Source organism: Homo sapiens, chromosome 16, assembly GCF_000001405.40.
Source record: "Homo sapiens chromosome 16, GRCh38.p14 Primary Assembly".
NCBI classification, from domain to species: domain Eukaryota; kingdom Metazoa; phylum Chordata; class Mammalia; order Primates; family Hominidae; genus Homo; species Homo sapiens.
In genome coordinates this window covers 78,380,499-78,400,242 of record NC_000016.10, presented here as the reverse complement: position 1 = coordinate 78,400,242, position 19,744 = coordinate 78,380,499, and the positions used below count along the sequence as shown (strand labels likewise).

General features: G+C 42.7%; 1 protein-coding gene across 2 annotated transcripts in view; it reads right to left on the bottom strand.

Annotated features, from left to right (window-relative positions):
* The window catches only part of WWOX (WW domain containing oxidoreductase), a 1,113,014-nt gene that overhangs the window by 812,425 nt on the left and 280,845 nt on the right, over positions 1-19,744 (bottom strand). For both annotated transcript variants that reach the window (NM_016373.4, NM_001291997.2), the window contains one exon: positions 13,295-13,383. In NM_016373.4, coding sequence (NP_057457.1) covers positions 13,295-13,383 — 89 coding nt within the window. The remainder of the gene's footprint in view (positions 1-13,294; positions 13,384-19,744) is intronic.

The following is a 19,744-nucleotide window of genomic DNA, read 5'->3' as shown; positions in this document are numbered from 1 at the left end:
AGAGACCTTTTCCTCCTGTTTTTGGTTATAAATTATTGCATAATATCAGCTCAAATATCTTTTTGATGACGAGTAAGTGACCGAACTATAACAGGAGTTTAAGCTTAAAAGTTAAACTGACGAACTTTACCGCTAATTGAGAGGTCCCGTTTATGTTTTTCTGAATGACAAGGTATGCAATAGATTCTTCAAAAATGAAGACAAGAAAGGACTCACAATATTAAAAACACAGTGCAGTGACAAGTAGCTCAACTAAAAATATAATCTTCCTTGGGGATTTTCAGCAGGCTGCCACGGTGTAGCACCGCTGATTTATTCAAATGTATATTCAAGTTTTTAGGCTGACAAGAATTAGCTTCTCAACAATTTACTGGGAAAAGATGGTTCCCATGTTATTAAAATGTGATTTCAGTGTGGTTTTAGCACAGCTTCTCAACATGTCAATTATGTAAGTGTAGATTCCAAAGTGACAATGAGGGTGGTTAGGATGCTAAGAGGAGAAAAACCAAGCTGGATTCATGGGCCAAGTTGGGAAATATAATTGTAAACCACAGAAACTCAAACCCTTTTTCCAAGTCTTATATAAATCGAGAGTTCTCTGAGAGTAACCAAATGTTGAAACCCTGACGCCGGGGATTTGCTGCATTGATGTCTGCGTGGGTGGTCTCACTGCAGGTCAAAGAGCAGGCTTGATAGACTGGGCTGAGAGGTGTCGCTCCCTGTTCAACCCAACAATGCCAAGCTGGCTCAGTCCCATGATCCATGTCCACTCCAGGGAAGCCCTTACTCTTAACAGAAGCCCTCACTCTTAAGGTTCATAGATTCCTTGTAAGAAAACCTTTGGGTTATGTGCCTAAAATAACTATTGTTGTAACTACGATTACATACAACTATGATTACTTTAGAAGTTGTTTCCCAAGATCTACAAAGGTATAGGCTCCATGCCACCCAAGGAGGTATCAACTCAAGATTCTATCACTGAGAATCGGCACCTTAGAAGTTCAGTTCACCTAACAGTACTATGTGTTTCCATTTTTGTTCTTCCCTCTTCTTCCGTTCCATCCTTCCTGTCTTCCAACCTTCTATCCATCTAGCCAGCCAGCCACCCATCCCCTTCCTTGTACTTACCTCTTGCATCCCCTTCCACCCCTTCCATCCATCTAGCCAGCCAGCCACCTATCCCCTTCCTTATACTTACCTGTTCCATCTTTCTATCCATCTAGCCAGCCAGCCACTCATCCCCTTCCTTGTACTTACCTCTTCCATCCTTCTATCCACCTAGCCAGCCAGCCACCCATCCCCTTCCTTGTACTAGAAGGCAGTAAATGTAATAATTGCAAAGGATGATAAAGACGATGACAATGATGACACAGGTTAAAATTCACTTTTTTATTAAGTATCAGGTACTACGCTTTATAAATATTCAGTTATTGAATCCTCTCAACAACCCAGAGTGGTGTTAGTATCCTTTCCCATCTTTGCTGATGAAATTAAGAATTAGAAAGATTAAGGAATTTGCCAGCGTCACCATCTTAATAAGTTGTAGCACAGATATTACAAGCTAAGACCAAGATGTATTAGCCAAAGTTTCTGCTCCTCTGGAGCTCAGTTTAATGAAGTAAAATCAATATAGAAAAAAGCATCCCCGAAGTATTCCATGTACAATGATTGGGTGTGTTGCTGATGGTCCAAAAAATAACTCATCAACTGTGGTGCCCGGGTAAGAGCAGGTAGAAGGGAGGCTCTGTAGAGGACGTGACACAAGCAATCCATGAATCCAGCTTGGTTTTTCTCCTCTTGCCATCCTAACTACCCTCATTGTCACTTTGGAATCTATGCTTACATAACTGACATGATGATGGACAAGTGGGAGAGGAGCCACACAAGCAAAGGCTCAGAGTCAGGATCCAGAACATAAGCAGCGGAGCAGAGAAGCCTGGGTTGGGGAAGACATGGCCACAGGTGACATGGGAGAAGGGATCAGATCCCAGAGGCCTGGGTGGGCCACAGCAGGAAGTGTAGCTATTTGCAGGTCAGATAGCAGGACATTGCCAAACAGGACAGTGTCAGGGCTGGGTTTGCACTTGAGAGTGATCACGCCATCAATTTGGAGGTATAAATAGCAAAACGACCCCTTGGTCTTCTTCTGTCTACTTGATAAGCATCAATTTGAAGACAAGTAGAAAGAAAGTGGAAATGGACAGTGACATTCACAGTAAATGTATAAAGATGATGCAAATGACAGTCAACAGCTGCCGCTTCAGCTTAAACGAACTCCATGAAGCAGCACCCTCTTGATTGGTTGGAAAATAGTCTGAGTACCTTAACTGAGCGGACGAGAATCTCTTCTGACTTTAACCTCCTTTACACATATTCCAGCAAAACGATTTCCCTTTGGTGATAGAAAATTGGCTGAAAGGCCAGGAGCGGTGGCTCACGCCTATAATCCCAGCAGTTTGGGAGGTTGAGGTGGGCGGATCACCTGAGGTGATCCTGAGAAAAAGGAAAATTGGCTGAAAGAAGCATCTCCTCCAACCTTGAACTGACCTTTCTAATTGTCCCACTAGGCAGTGGCTGTCCATCATCTATTTTACTCATGGGACAAATCTCCTTTAGAAACAATGTTTTTTACATGGTATATTTCCCAAATGAGACAGATCTTTCTGATTCTCCAAGCTACTATGCAAGCTGAGCTCAACAGAAGAAGAGATTTTGGACGAAGTTCTAGCCTTACTGCGTACCAGCTAGCATGAACTTGGTTGAGGTTCTTAATTTCTTAGTCTGTAAAATGTGGTTAATCATTGCACCAGGCTGAACCATTAAACACTGCCATTCTTCTGCCATTTTTTAACCCACTCTTAGAGTCATTATAAGGATAAAATGGGATGGTATGTAAGTGCTTAGCTGTACATGACACATGATAAATAGCTGATAAATATTAGCAATTATTATCATCATTATATGGTTCCATACTCCAATTAGCGCTTCAGTATCTTCGTTATTGAAACAGCACTTAGTTGTCTTATTGACCTGCTTCCCTATATGGTAATATTTCCAAAGCTCAGCAAAGCACACTGTTCCACTTAAACTCTTTCCTCTTCTCTCAGCCGTGAAATATCATGGGGGAGTTTCTTCAAAGAATTGAAATTAACTATGCACACAACATCGACTCTCAACACTTATTTACCTTGACCAGACCTAACATAACCCATTTTCTAAGAAAAACAGAATATATTTCTCATGATGAAAAAGGGTGCTAGTAAAATGAATTTCATTTAAAGGGTCTCTGGGCCACCGTCCAAGGAGTAGTAAACCACAGCTGCCAGGCCAGATACCAAATCCAAGCCACTTCCTGTTCTTTGTAAATAAAGTTTTATTAGGACACAGCCACACCCAGTTATTTATGTGTTGTCCCAGGCTACTTTTATATTACAATAGTCTCATGTAACACTCAACAATGTATTCAACAATGCTTGAATGGTTGCCGCAGAGACTGTCTGGCTGATGAGAGCAAAAATATTTACTATCTGATTCTTTGCAGAAAAACTTTGCCGACGAATGTCTAGTCTAGTGCTTTACATAATCATTATTTAACACCAACAATAATTAACATTATTTGCTATAGCTAAAGGAAGGACATCACCTTGCATGTGCACTGGTGGGATTGTGAGGAGTGGGAAAAGACAACCCTGGGGTAATTGTATCTACCCTCCAAAGCGTGGTTTTTACTCTCTATGGAAGGGAAAGTTGTGTTCAATTTACATATATGACTTTGATTTCATGAAAGATGATAGTGATAGTTAAACCTAGGATTCTGTTGGGAAATCAAAAATGTTTATTTTGTGAACATTGGTGTGGTTAATTCGAACACATTTTCATTTATGTCTTGGCAGTGATGACTTTTAATATGGCAAAAAGGCTCACTAACTTTTTTTTTTCCGACAAATGTCATGCTAAGTGACCCCTAATTGATGTAATAATTATTCTCTCCACCAGGGGCAGGTTTTTGAAGGTTGGCATCATAAAAAGTTATCAAAAAACTGCTAAGCATCACAACTACTGTAAGAAAGAAATAAGGTACAGGAGATATGAGAGAAGGCATAAGCTTTATTTCCAATCTCTAGCCAAGTTCTTGGCACTGTTGTGACTGCTGAATAAATGATGAGGTGAGGGCAAAAAAAGTTTTTAAGGAGGTGAGAAAGAAAGCAGGTAGAGTGCTCTGGGGTTCCACTGTACTTAAGGATTCCTAGTATTTGCAGTGTGTCCTGCTGTACCTCACTTATCCAGAGCAGGCTGCTTTTATGGCAACTCATCTGAAAAAGATGCCTAAAATCAAGAGGAACAGACATAGTCATGTCAAAGAAAATGGAATCTAAGCATTTACTCCGAAAGAAAACTGTGAAGCATCCTTGGGTCCATGGCTTTCCATCAGCATAAATCAAGAATAACAAAAGAATAGCAAAAAAGAAAAAGAAAAAGAAAAAGAAAAAACAAAACAAAAAACCATACTCAGTAGAGTAATAAAGTACTTTATGATCCTCAGTGGAACATCACTACAGTAACAATAATTTCTCTTGGCTCTTGTCACCCTAGAGCTTGCAGGCAATGTGAAGCTCATTTCCCTTCTTCTCTTGGTTGTCAGGCATTGTAAAGATCATTCCTGGGCCCAATTTTCCTTTCTTCCTTCCCTTCTTTCTTTCTGCCCTTCTCTCTCTTTTTCCTTTTCTTTACAAGACAGGTTCTGGCTCTGTTGCCCAGGCTGGAGTGCAGTAGCATGATCATGGCAGCCTCCACCATGCTGGCTCAAGTGATCCTTACTCGTCAGCCTCCCAAGCAGCTGGGACTACAGGTGTGCACCACCACACCCAACTAATTTCTGTAATTTTTGTAGAGACAAGGTTTTGCCAAATTACCGAGGCTGGTCTCAAACTCCGGAACTCAAGCAACCTGCCTGCCTTGGCCTCCCAAAGTGCTGGGATAACAGGCATGAGACATCACACGTGTCCTCTCAAACGATTGTGAAAGCCCTTATGAGACCCACACTTCCTCTCTGAGCACAACATCCCCTTTTCCTGTTTAATTAATTAGTTGTCTTATTGCTGTCTTAAACTCTATATATTCTCAGAAACCTTTCTAAGATCATTTTACGATCAAGATGAGAAAGAAATGCATATTACCAATAGCCCCAGGCTCCATAAAGTGAGATGTGTCTGGTAATTTCATGCATTATGGCTATTTTCAATAATCAACAACCTGCAAAGCACTGTGAAAATACACATTACACACACTTGGAAAGTGACGCTGAGAGATTTTCAGTAGTTTGCCCAAAGCCACACAGCCAGTAAGTGGTAGAGCTGGAAGCGTCAGTTGACCCCCAACACCCACGTTCTTTACACTACTCCAGGGCATACAGGTTGTTGCCCAGGGGTAGCATACTATGGCCCCTGGCCAATCTGGCCCATTGTCTGTTTTGTAAAGTTTTATTGCAACACTGCCATGATCATCCATTTCCATACTATCTATGGCTGCTTTCAGGCTACCACGGCAAAAGCAAGCAGTTGCAACAGAGATCTTAATAGTCTGAAAATTCTCAAATATTCACTCTCTGGCCCCTTACAAGAAGTTTACCTACCTCTGCCCTTTACGGTCATACTTTGATGTTTTTGGGAAGAGAGTGTATGATCTATTTCAGAAATATTTTTCTAAGTATTATATAAAAAGACTGAATGCTGAAAAAGTTTCAGAAGGCAAAATTTTGCTTAGGAGGGAAGCATTCTTCCCTGATGTTTCTAGATACACTAAGTATTTCACAGTGTGCTTTTTCAATGCCTTAGGATGGAAAATGTATGGGATAGAAAAAAAAATTTAACTTGTAGACTTTTCAAAATTTTCCTTAAAAAATCATAATTAAGAGCTAGATTTAGAGCATTCATTAGAGCAAAAAACTGCCTCTGTTTTTCTTTTCTTTGGGTTTTCATACTGTGTAGAGAAGCAAAGCAAGATGATCTTCTGTTAGGCAAACCAAAAATGGATTTCTCATATTGAGCCAAGAGTAATGCAGATATGTTGGCTAAAACATTATTCTTAAAACCGAGCTAGGGAGAAAAAGAAAGATTAATATGTAATTTACACGTTGGTCTTCAGGGTAATTCATCCCACAAAATTTGGAATTTATTTATAATTTATAGCCCACCCACTTCCCTAGATGGATTTGAGACAGCAAAATTTGGAATATGAATCCAAGAATATTATATCTGGGATTAGTAGATTCAAGTTCTGAAAGTAATTTAGCAGAAAATGAAAATAAATAAACTTGTTAAAGATTTTTTTTCCTCCCATATGTTTAAGAAGTAAAGCAAGGATACAAAACCGTTATTTTAACCTTTTTTTTAATTAAAAAAACACCACTGTTCTATATTATCTTCTAAGTGAGACAAAGCTTAAGTATAATTTCTTTAAATTATACCGGTGACAGAAAGTTCAGAAGAGACATAAAAATCCATGATCAAAAATGCAGTTCTAAAAATGTTTGGACTTGGGTAATTATTTTAATATGAATTTCCTATCAATTCCAGGAAGAATCAAAACCCTTGGTCAGTATTATACAAGCTGACCAGTAACTGCAATCTAAGTAATAAATATCTCAGGTGTCGTCACCAACTTTTTAAGTTCCAGGATTGCAATTCAGTTCTCTATTTTATCAGGGACTTAAGGACCTACAAACCGTTTTTTAAAAAATTTTGTAATATAGAGACAGCGTCTCACTACGTTGCCCAGGCTGGTCTCACGTTTCTGGGCTTAAGCAATCCTCTCACCTTGGCCTCCCAAAAGCGCTGGGATTATAGGCATGAACCATTGCGCCCAGCCATAAACCATTTTTTGAAGAAGAAAAAGTATTACAGAGCACCTCTCTCTAGGAGCTGTTAACTCTTCTAGGCCCTGTTCAAAATATGCACTTTTCAGTAGACTAAGCAGCTACTGCTAGGAAGGAAAATGTGCAAAGCCTCATAAAAACATACTGTTATTTCTCAGTCCATTTCAGAAAACCCCAATATTTGGTCTGAGTGATTAGAAAGGGTCCCAGCTCTTCATACTCCTATGGACACCACTGCTGCCAGGCAGTAGGAAGTCTGGCTCCTCTCCAGGAATGCAGTTTAAACAAAAATATCCCTCACAAGCCAGTTTGGGTGGAACTTACCACAGGCTTTGGTTTGGAACTTTCCAGTAATGCCCAAAATAATTTGACCCGAGACACACTGGCCGACGACCGCTGCTACCGCTAACTCTGAGGAGAACTATCTGGAAGCAGGCTGAGGCTTCCTGGGCTGACCACCCAGAAAACTTAGTGGAGAATAACAGAATCAATGAATGAAAATGGGAGTGAGTAAACAGAGAGTGGGCAGAGGAGTGAGGAGGTCAGGACGTGCTGGGCCTGAAGAAAACTGGCTTTGGCAATCAGGCCTGTGTGTACTCTTGGACGATTACACCACTGCCTCTGAAGTATTCTTACGAAAACATTAAACACGAAGTTGATTGAGTCTCTTGAGTTATCTACCCTTTCACAGGAAACTCAGGAGACAGAAGAGTATGTTAAAAGACACCACAGAGATGCAATCACCAAAGTACAGACTGCAGAAATCTCTAGAGCAGAGGTTTCCAAATTTTTTTGGCACCAGCAAGTGGTTTTCTGGAAGACAATTTTTCCATAGACTCAAAGGAGTGGGGGTGGCTTTGGGACGATTCAAGCAGATGACATTTATTGTGCACTTTATTTCTATTATTATTACGTTGTAATATATAATGAAATAGTTATCCAACTCACCATAATGTACAATCGGTGGGAGCCCTGAGCTTGTTTTCCTAGAACTAGACAATCCCATCTTGAAGGTGATGGGAGGCAGTGACAGATCATCAGGCATTAGATTTTCGTAAGGAGCATGCAGCCTAGATCCCTTGCATGTGTGGCTCACAATAGGGATCACGGTCCTATGAGACTAATGCTGTTGCTGATCTGACAGGGGGAGGACCTGAGGCACTAATGAGAGTGACAGAGAGCGGCTCTAAGCACAGACGCAGCTTCCTATGCTTGCCCACCACTCACTCCCTGCCATGCCACCCAATTTATAACAGGCCACGGCTCCGCTATTGGTTTGTGGCCTAGAGGTCATGGACCCCTGCTCTAGAGAACACCCTGGTCCCTTAAATCTGTTGCATTAAAAGAAATTTTTTTAAGGAAAAAAAAAAAAAGGAGACAAAACCTATAGATTAAAAATGCATCGACCTTATTTGAATCCTGATTCAAACAAATTAACTATGAGAAAGAGGGAGGGAGGAAAAGAGGAGGCACAAAAGAAATGTTTCTTGTTTTACGTTGTTTTTTAGCCACTAAATTTTGGAGTAATTTGTTTGAGACAGAGTCTCACTGTCCCCCAGGCATGATCTCGGCTCACTGCAACCTCTGCCCACCCCAGAGCTCAAGCAATTCTCATGCCTCAGCCTCCTGAGTAGCTGGGACTTCAGGTATGCATCACCATGCCCGGCTAATTTTTGTATTTTTAGTACAGACGGGGTTTTGCCATGTTGGCCAGGCTGTTCTCAAACTCCTGGCCTCAAGCAATCCACCCACTGCGGCCTCCCCAGGTGCTGGGATTACATGTGTGAGCCACCGTGCCTGGCCAGAGTCATTTCTTACTCGGCAATACATAACCAATACAGAAATCCACACTGAAATTCCTATGACTGAAGTGTGCAAAGTAACAAAAAGTCGTTTTGGATTCAGAGAGATTTGGGTTCAAATTCTGGATCTCCTACTTGCTCAAGTTGAGAAAGTGTCTTAGGCTCTCTGCACTGCAACCTTGTAATTTGCAAAGTAGGGATAATCATGGTTAAGTGTGCAGGACTCTTATAACAAACTACAGACAGAATACATGTATGTAAGTGCTTAGCACACTGCCTTGCATAAAACAAACAACAAGTTGCCTAGCAGCTATTGTTTACATAATCATGGTTAGGAGGGCTCCCTCTACAACAGCCTCCTTTGCAGCCTCACCTCCCAGCACCCGAATAAAAAGAAGAGATCCAGGAAGAGGCTGATCCCCATCTCCCACAGAAGGCAGACGGCGGGTGGTTCCACAGTACAATATGCTGCTTTTCTCACCAGTGTTTGTACTAAGAATCTGTTTCTACCTTTTCTGCTCTAAGACTACACAATATGCTGCCTATCCCAGTGTGGAGAAACACTTGAGATGGAGCATGGACCAAGGGAATACACACAGGAACTCAGAGCCTGATAATACTCTGGCTTGATCACATACAGGCTTTGAAACGGCATATTAAATAAGAGCATCCACATGGAATTCAAATTTAAGGGATTTTTTCCTCTCCTCAATGCAACAGCGTGAAAAGAGATTGGTTCTGAACTGGCAGCCTTTCTTTCATTTGTCATTATGTTTTACACACAAGAAAATTTTAATGTCTGAAGATGGGGGGTGATAAGAATAGAGTTACATGTGTTTCTCTGGCAGCCTAGTCACCAGCACTTAAATTCACTTCTGACAGTTGTCAGAATCGAAAGACCTGCAAGTACTAAACTGTCATCTGCCTATCCAAGAGAGATTTCACTTTGGCAGCATTTCAAAAGTAAAATCTCTCGCTTTTTTATGCATATTTTCACCACCACAGTATTTCTCTAAGCCATGTAAAATCCTGTACTCTCATGGGACACATACAAAGAGGGTTGTGCTACAGAGGTCTCTATATGGAAAATCACCCTTGTTTCTCAACCTAGAAGTACTTTCTAAAATTCCAAAGTCCTGTGCTAAAATCTGGGATTAGGGCAAAATGGGTGAGAGTTTCCTCCAAGGTTTTGAGCTTGGTGATTACAAAAGGCACTTGAACTTGATGATTTCCCAACTACTTAATGGTTAAAAACTAATGGTCCAGTTAAGACGTGGAAGATGATCCTATTATGTAACAGTTGGCTCTCTTCAGCAAAGCTGCTCACTTCCAACACATTCTGACAGAGGAACTGGACAAAGTTATTCAGCGGCAGTGAATTGTGAGATCTCACATGCTATGAGGAAAAGAACAAGAGGCAGACTGGAGTGAAACCCCATGCCCGTCACCAACCTGCTAAGTGACCCTGCGAAAGTCACTCACATTCTCTGAGTCTGTTTCTATCACATTTAAAATGAAAGGGTCGGGCAGGGTGGCTCACGCCTGTAATTCCAGCAGTTTGGGAGGCCAAGGTGGAGAGATCACTTGAGGTCAGGAGTTGACTAGCCTGGCCAACATGGTGAAACCTCATCTCTACAGAAAATACAAAAATTAGCTGTGTGTGGTAACCTGCACCTGTAATCCCAGCTACTCTGGAGGATGAGGCATGAGAATCGCTTGAACCCAAGGCCAGAGGTTGCAATGAACAGAGATTGCACCACTGCACTTCAGCCTGGGCAACACAGCGAGACCCTGTCTCAAAAAATAAATAAAAAATAAACTAAAATGAAACACAGTATAGTACGGTGGTCAAGTTGGAGCCGTGAAGAGGCTAAATCGGCCCCTCTACCCACATTCCACATGCCTTGGATAAATTATATATCCTCTCTAGCCTCACTTTCCTTATCTGTATAGTAGAGATATTAATAGCATCTACTCCCAAGGACTGCTTTGAGAATTGAATCAAAACATACATGCAAAATATTTTCCACGTATGGCCCATAAGCCCTCAGTAAATGAGCTGCTGACTCCGCTGCTGTTCTTGTCATTATCATTCCCTCCCAAACAACCACAGACAGATGAGTTTGAGGAGTCAGCCATCCATAATAGCTGACAACTGAGGTGACAGCTTGTGTGCGGTTACTGTGGCTTCCAGGGCCACCACTCTCTTCTCAGAGCCCAGAAGAATGTCTGGGGCTTTAGAGGTGCTCCTGAAATGTGTGTGAAGTGAAGGAACGGGTGGATAAATGAATGACGAAGCAAATCAGCGAACAAATGTCTTGAATGCTAGTGTTGCAGCCTGTTGAGGTGCCTCTTGATAGTTCTGGCAAAGGGTGGAAGCTACTAACAGCCAAGCGCTGCAAAGGACACACACAGGAGGGCTCTCTCAGATCTGGCTGGCTGGGGGATGTTATCTCACTGTTCCTACAAGCCAGCTTGGGGTCTGCGCTTAGGCGATGTTGCAACTCTCACTAAGACTGACTCTAATGTAGACCTCAGTGACTTGGGACACTGACATACTCCAGCAAGAGCCTGAGTCAATTTTTTTTTTTTTTTTTGAGACAGAGTTTTGCTCTTGTCACCCGGGCTGGAGTGCACTGGTTCAGTCTCAGCTCACTGCAACCTCCACCTCCCGGGTTCAAGCCATTCTCCTGCCTCAGCCTCCCAAGTAGCTGGGATTACAGGCATGTGCCTCCCCGCCCAGTTAATTTTGCATTTTTAGTAGAGACGGGGTTTTACCTTGTTGCCCAGGCTGGTCTCGAACTCCTGACTTCAGGTGATCCGCCCACCTCGGCCTCACAAAGTGCTGGGATTACAGGCGTGAGCCACCACGCCAGGCTGAGTACAAACTTTTTTTTTTTTTTTTTTTTTTTTTTTTTTTTGAGACGGAGTCTCAATCTGTCGCCAGGCTGGAGTGCAGTGGTGCCATCTTGGCTCACTGCAACCTCTGCCTCCCAGGTTCAAGCGATTTTCCTGCCTCAGCCTCCCAAGTAGCTAGGACTAGAGGTGTGCACCACTACACCCAGCTAATTTTTTGTATCTTTAGTAGAGATGGGGTTTCACAATGTTGGCCAGGATGGTCTTGATCTCTTGACCTCATGACCCTCCCCGCCTTGGCCTCCCAAACTGCTGGGATTACAGGCATAAGCCACTGCACCCAGCTGAGAGCAAACTTTTTAAATCTAATAAAGTAGAGCGGCTGGGCGCAGTGGTTCATGTGTGTAATCCCAGCATTTTCAGAGGCTGAGGCGGGTGGATCACCTGAGGCCAGGAGTTTGAGACCAGTCTGACCAATATGGTGAAACCCTATGTCTACTAAAAATACAAAAATTAGCAGGCCATGGTGGCAGGCATCTGTAGTCCCAGCTACTCAGGAGGCTGGGACAGGAAAATCACTTGGGCCCACAGTGGGACGTTGCATTAAGGCGAGATTGTGCACTACGTTCCAACCTGGGTGACACAGCCATGCAAGGAGAATTGGACACTAGACAGCAGTGTGGTGTCAGCTCCCCACAGGGCCATTTGAATATCTGGTTTAAGATCCCTTCCCTCACATCCTTCATCTGCTTGCAACACTGCAGAACTAATGTTCCCAACAGAGCCTAACCCAAAGGCAGCTTGTCATTTATGAGAGCTCTCCACATTCAGTGGTTCTGGTGCCTCTTGTGTAATTATCTTATCCTTCGCACAACCTGTGCTATTATTAACTTAATCCTCATGTTTGAATCAAGTCACTGAAAAAAAATAAATGAAGTTATTTATTAATGAAATTCAAACCTCTATGTTCAACGAGAAACCAGGATTGCCTGCCCTAAATATGAGTAAAAATAAACACTTGGAAACAAAGTATTGTAATTAGTGTAGCTTGCCATGATCACTTTCCTTAGCTCAGTGTTTCAGGGTTTGAGGCCTCCTGTCTGTCTCTCTGTCTCCCCACCCCCTTCCGCTTCTCTCCCTTTCTCCTACAACCTTCTCTGTTAGAAAGGGATGCTAGCATATGATAGGATCAAAATATGCTAGGCCCTAACTAAGGCTTTCTCCAACTGGAATTTTGAAAGACTGAAAAGGATGAAAAAAAATAAATAAAAGGAATGTGAGTCCATGTTTTTTGGAACCACATCCATGTACCACATCAAATCATCGAAGGCTTTAGAAACTAGAGGTCTTTTGGGTGCTTGGATTGTCAACCTCCCTGCCATACTGGATAACTGAGTTTACTTGTTCCTGAATGCAATTTAAATATACTCTTACTCCATTCTGAAATGCACTACAAAAAATCTTATAATCAGGATGCATCTTACTATTGCCAAGCTTTTATTAGCCACTTTTACTAGTGCTTTAATAGTGTCTTCTCTTTTGGTATGTGGGAAGCTGTTATTAGATTGATGACACATCTCATAATGAAGGTGACTGTGAGTCAAGAAAATACGGTTCACCTTAACAGGGCCAATATAAATGAGCCTCCTGTTTGGACGCCAAGACAACACAACAGCCTTGCATTCTCCCAATTGTGTTCATCTGATAAAGATATTACAATAGCAAGAAATTATGATCTATAACCCTCCACTGGAACACTCACACATTCTTGGCCTTGAATGCTTCAGCAAAATGCTGCACGCTACGGAGCAGAGCGAGGTCCAGGGTCATTGCTTCTACCTTGGCTTTATGCTGCAATGAGAGAAAATAAAAAGAAATGATAAATAACAGCAAGTGTAGTTCATGGTATCAAGTTACAGTAAATGTGTTATGGAACATGTCGGAATTCCCCTGTTTAATATAAGACGCCCAGAGAGAATATAAATCATCGGAATGAATGGAAGAACAGGGCTTTTACTGCCAAGTTCGGGGAGGATGTGAGGCTGGGATTCTGCTAAACCTACAGGCTGGGGGGTGGGGCGGGGGGGTGGGTTGTGCTGTGTTTCAGCCGCGCAAAAGAGGCTGCAAAGGCGCTTCGGGCTAACGTTATCTCCTCTCAATCTGCATCCTAAAACGCTGTAAGGAGGGGAATGCACGACAACGCCTCGATCATGGAAAGATGCAATGGACAATATCTTAATTTCAAAAGCTGCCATCCAGGTTCTGAAATATCTCCATTAAACCTGCATCAAAAATCAAAGACAACTCCTTTATAGAAAGTACAAAAGCAGAAAGACTCGTTTATACCAATGGATTCTGACGGACCTCGATCCCAAAGGCAACACCCTGGCTTAGTAAACCCAGAAAACTCTATCAACAGGTGGAATACATGCTGGTGATAGGAATAATAATGGTAATAATGGCTACTGTGTACTTAGGGCCTGCCACGGGCTGGACATTTGCATACCATCTCACTCAAGGCTCCTAACAACTCAAAGACAATGTTTTCTCCATTTGACAATGCAGCATCTTACAAGAGATCACAGAGATAGGAAATTGAGTACAAGAACTGACCCCAGTCACTGATAAAGAAGCCCAAGTTCCCGCCTAGCAAGAAACCAGGAGAACTGGAGAGGTCGGGATTTGAAGCAATGGTGTTCCATTGGCCATGTTCTTCATGGCATCATTCTGCAAGGACAAATCTCCGGGTTGCCCCTCCCACTAGCCTTCTGTGTATGGGCCACTCCCAACTTTTAAATCTGGGTGCGCTTCGGAGTGCGAGATTAAATACTATCACTTCTTAGACCTAGCTCCTTGAAAGGACAAAAAACCCAAGAACACAGGGCCACCTGCCTATTCAAATAAGAAGAGTCCCGTAAAACAAACGGTTGACTTGGGAATTCTAGTCTAGACTGTGATGCTTAAGTAAGATTAAGGAGGATAACATGATACCTGTAAGGCTATGAAGGGGGATGCAAATGGCACTGCTGAGAACATCCTCTACCCTAAGTGTCCTGTTCAGGGATGGACAGGAGCTGGGCTGAGACGTTCAGCGTAATTGCAGCTGGTTTATCTTGGCTGCCAAGTCCTGGGCTCTAATCCAAGTCCTAAGCTTTGAGCAGTAAACATCAGGCAGTGACAGCTAGAAAACACACTCATTCTGGACCATTTAACACTGTTGAGCCTCAGTTTCCTTATCTGTAAAAGATGAATATTAGTCATCTACTCATAGGTTTGTAACGATACATGTTCATAAGTTCCTAACATCCTGTCTGGAAGACAAATTATCTAATTAATTTAACTAGCAGAGAAGATGTTTCTTGTGTAAAACTCTTGTCCCGATGCCACTTGGCAATAAATGGTAGTCTGGGTGGGTTATAGTCCAGCACAGTGGACAGATGGATGGCAATGATGTCCAAAGATCCTCCCTGAAGGCCACATCAGACCAGATTACTGAGGGAAGGATCCTAAAGAATCCAAGTCATGCCTGCTAACAAAGCCCTGTGCTTTTGTGTGTGTGTGTGTGTGTGTGTGTGTTTAGATGGAGTCTCACTCTGTCGCCCAGGCTGAAGTGCAGTGGCACCATCTTGGCTCACTGCAACCTCCACTTCCTGGGCTCAAGCGATTCTCCTGCCTCAGCCTCCCGACTAGCTGGGACTACAGGTGCGTGCCAACACACCCAGCTTATTTTTGTATTTTCAGTACAGACGGGGTTTCACCATGTTGGCCAGGATGGTCTCAATCTCTTGACCTTGTGATCCACCCACCCCGGCCTCCGAAAGTGCTAGGATTACAGGCGTGAGCCACCGCACCTGGCACAAAGCCTAGTTTTAAGGAAAGGTGGTAGAAAGTGATGAAATTATGTCCCCAAACCCCAACAGCACATCAGTGGTGGAGGCAAACTGGCAAACACAGATTTAAATTCCTGGTCTTGGGTAACAGTGGCAGATGCCAAAGTGTGCAGATTTTGGAACGAGGAGGAGAAACATGAACCTGATCTAGGAAAAGGGGAAAACGCCCACACGTGGGTTGTTAGTTTCCTACGTTCAGGAAATAACAGAGCTAGAGGGTCTGCTATAAGGTGACGCCACATCCCCCCTATAAAGAGGGCAACTGCCACCAAGAATATTGAAGGCATGTGGTGAAGTCACACCCCGTGAAAGGTGTGTACCTCCAGATGAGGAGCAGAACCCTCATAAGCTGTCTGAGTAACTGATATTTATCTGATGATTAAAAATATTTTCAAAGTGTAAATGTTTCAATACCCCACAGAGACGCTGATGCCTCATAAACACAACTACCTGACATTCAGAGTCAGCAAACAAAGTGACCTTTCATCCTCATCCTAAGTCCTCTGGTCCCTGCCTCGTTTTACTTGGAGCATGACACTCACTGCCACGTGCAGAATCTTACAGAAATGTGAATGTATCACAAGAGGAAAGGCAGCCATTCATTATGCTGTGGAGGGGGTGGTAAAGAAATTGCTCTGCTCAGCCAAGCCCCCAGTGGAAACCCCAAGGGATATGCAGGCTACATATTATAAAAACGCATGTATGTATTTCCCCCATAAAACAGGAAGAACATTCCCAGATGGCGACCCCAAAGCAGTATTTCAACAAAAATGATAGCACAGCCAACTAGCCCAGTCTTCTCTGTAAGTAACTTACAACTGCTAAGTTTTCTTTTGGTTCCCCTGCTTCCCTTCAAAATAAAGCACAGAGCTGCCACTATCAATAAGAAGAAAATCAGAACATATAACTCTAAGGGAAAAAGGGGTCACAAGCCATCAAGTAGTTCAACAGACTAATCCACAAGCTGTGGGTTACTAGGCTCCTGGGGATAGTGATTCAAGTCCACACACTGTTATTCAGGCAATTCTCTTGCCCTAGGTATCAGGTTTCCCATTTCTGCTACCAATCCTGAGAAATGGAGAGAAACTGGAGGCAATACAGTAAGTCCAGGGGATGGAAAATGCAGCCTTTAAATTAGGGTGTGCATATGTGTTTATGTGTGTGTTGGGGGTTTGCAATTCTAATTGTCTAACAAACTTAGTAACTTTATAGAAATGTTTGTAGTGGGACATGCTCTAAATAAGAAGGTAGTGGCTGACAGATTGCAAACGGAACCCCTTTTCGAGAGGTGAACTGCTGATTGTTAGGCGAGGACAAGAGACTCGATCTGCCAAGGTGAGATTTCCTCCCAGGTCTGGCAGTGAATCTGCAACTGACCATAATTCACTTTATTGGTTTAGCTCATGATCTTCTGGTTGTTAACTTTTATTTGAAACTAATTATAGATTCACAAAACATGGCCAAACTGGTACAGAGAACACCCTATACCCATCATCCAGCTTCCCCCATATATACATCTTACATACATACAATACAATGGCAAAACCTGAAAATCAACATCAACACAACACAATTTACTAGACCACAGTCATTACTGGGATGTCACCTGATGTGGTTTGGCTCTGTGTCCCTACCCAAATCTCATATTAAATTGTAATCCCCAATACTGGAGGTGGGGCCTGGTGGGAGGTGATTGGATCATGGGGCTGGTTAAAAACAGCTTAGTGCCATCCCCCTAGTGCTGTCTCGTGATCCAGTATGCCTAAGATCTGCTTGTTTACAAGAGCATATCACCTCCCCCTATTCGTCCTCCTGCTCCTGCTAAGATTTGCCTGCTTCCTCTTCGCCATGATTGGAAGTTTCCTAAGGCCTATCCAGAAGCAGAACATGAACACAGAACAATGAGCCAATTAAACCTGCTTTCTTTATAAATTACACAGTCTCAGGTATGTTTATATAGCAGTGTGAGAAGGAACTAACACAACTTGAGATGCGTTTATTTTCTTTGCTGTACCTTTGTGCATAATTCTAAGACATTTTATCATGTGTATGTATTCATATAACCATCACCACATTCAAGACATAGAACTGTTCCATCACCACCAAGCAAACCATGACTTTCATTAAGAAGTGTTAGAATTAGCACATGCCATCTAGAACATGAAAAGTTCAGGCCTCGTTCAGTCAGAGCCTGCTCTCTTCATTGGCAAAACCAACCCTTTAGTACGTCAGAGTGGTCAGTAAGACGTGGGCTGAATTCCTTAGCATGGCTCACAAGATCCTCTGCATCAATCAGGATGTGCTTCAGTAAGGAACAACCCCCAAATCTCCATTAATTAGAATAACCCAGAATTATGACTTGCTCACACTTCACACTCATTGTAGGTCAGTGGGCCCAGCTCACCGTGGCCACTCAGGGACCAGGTGGATGGAGCCTCTGTTGTCTGTAACACTGCCAGCCTCTACGGCATGTGGAAGGCAATGTGGTGAGTTACACGTGGCATCTCAAAGACTTCCACTTAATAGTGACTGGTGTTGCTTCTGCTCACATTTCCTTGACAAAGTCATGTGGCTGTGCCTAGCTTCTAGAAGGTGCAACGTGCTATGTGTCCAGAAAGAGGAGAAATAAAAACAGAAAGTGAGGAACAACAACAACTAACTCAGTCCATGACTTGGTCCCTGTCTACCTCTCTGGGCTTGTTTCAGGCCAACTCCTACTTCACACTCACATCCATTATAAAAAAAAGTCACAAAGACATATGAATATGGGCCATATAAAAAAGCATCTAAAATATAACTGGCTGGGCATAGCAGCATGCACCTGCTACACAGGAGGCTGCGGCAGGAAGATCACTTGAACCTGGAAAGTCGAGGCTGCCGTGAGACATGATCGTGCCACTGCACTCCAGCCTGGGCAACAGAACAAGACTGTCTGAGTAAAAAAGGAAAAGAAAAAAATCCCACCACCGTAAAATAAACTGCTAGCCTTCCATATATCCCTCATTCCTTCCTACCTATATGTCTATCCATTTATCTTCCCACCTACCTATCCATTCATCCATCCATCCAATCATCCATCCTCCCATGCTTGTTTAACCAAAAGAGGTTCTGAGATCACTGAATCTTGAAATGCTGTAAAATGGCTCTCAAAATTTTCCTTCCCCAAATCTTCATTCTTCCTTCTGATCACACCAGTACAAGCTTATCTCAGGCAAAACAGAAATGTTAATGTATTTTAAATTATGTATACAGACTCTACCTACCCATCATTTTAAAACAGAGCCACACAGGTGGCATCCCACATGTGAAGCATCAGGCAACTTCTATGTAGCTCAGAAGCCCACTTGCTCCCAACATCCAGGGCTCAGCCAGAAGGTCATAATCAAACAACCCAGGTGCATGTCTCCCATTTCCCTTGAATATAGTGGCACTCATCAGTAGCACAGTTCACTGCCACCTTAATACACTAAGTCTTCTTCATCTATTCTTTATATATACTGAAACCTGTGTTAGTGACTCAAGAGTCTGTAAGTGTGGAATCAAAGGGGTTTCTTGTTGTTATGCAACAGTGATCTCTAGTATCATTTTATGACTATAAATTAGCCATATGTGACTCTGATGCGATACTGCCTGAAACCAAAGAAACCATATGGGGAGTGTGTGGTATTTAAACAGAGAAATGGGGAGATATTGTCATTGCAGCAAAGACACCAGAGCCAGGCTGCCCTGGAACTACAGCCCAGTATGTCCAATGCACTGGCAACTTGACTTCAGGAAAGCTACTGGAAGGATCTGGGCTTCAATTGCCTTAATTATGAATGAGCATAATAGTATTGCCTTCTATGGTTAGAGTGAAGATTAGATAGAGTGAATATAAGGTACAAGCCACACAATGGGCTCTCAATATATGCTATTATCATTATTTTGAAGGCCACTGCTAAAATGTGATGACCATTGTTTTCCAATAATAATGCATATTAATAACTGTGGGTCTCCCTTGTTTTCTTTTTTCAGGGGGTGGTTTGGGGCTGGGCAAGTTACTGCTTCTTGTATATTTAGTTTGCTCCTCTGTGAAGTGGGAGTAATAACAGCACCTGCCCTATCGGGAAGTCAGGCAATGTATCTAAAGCAGTTGGAGCAGAACATGATACCTGATCAGTAGTTCATAACTCTAGATCCTTATATTGTGATTATGTATTGTTTTATCATCGTGATCATCACAATGCATAAGATGTGGTGGTCACCGCTGAATGGGTGATAAACCATTCAGCCCTATCCTTAAAGAGTGCAGTGCTTCACTCTTCACTGATACGGCTGAATGG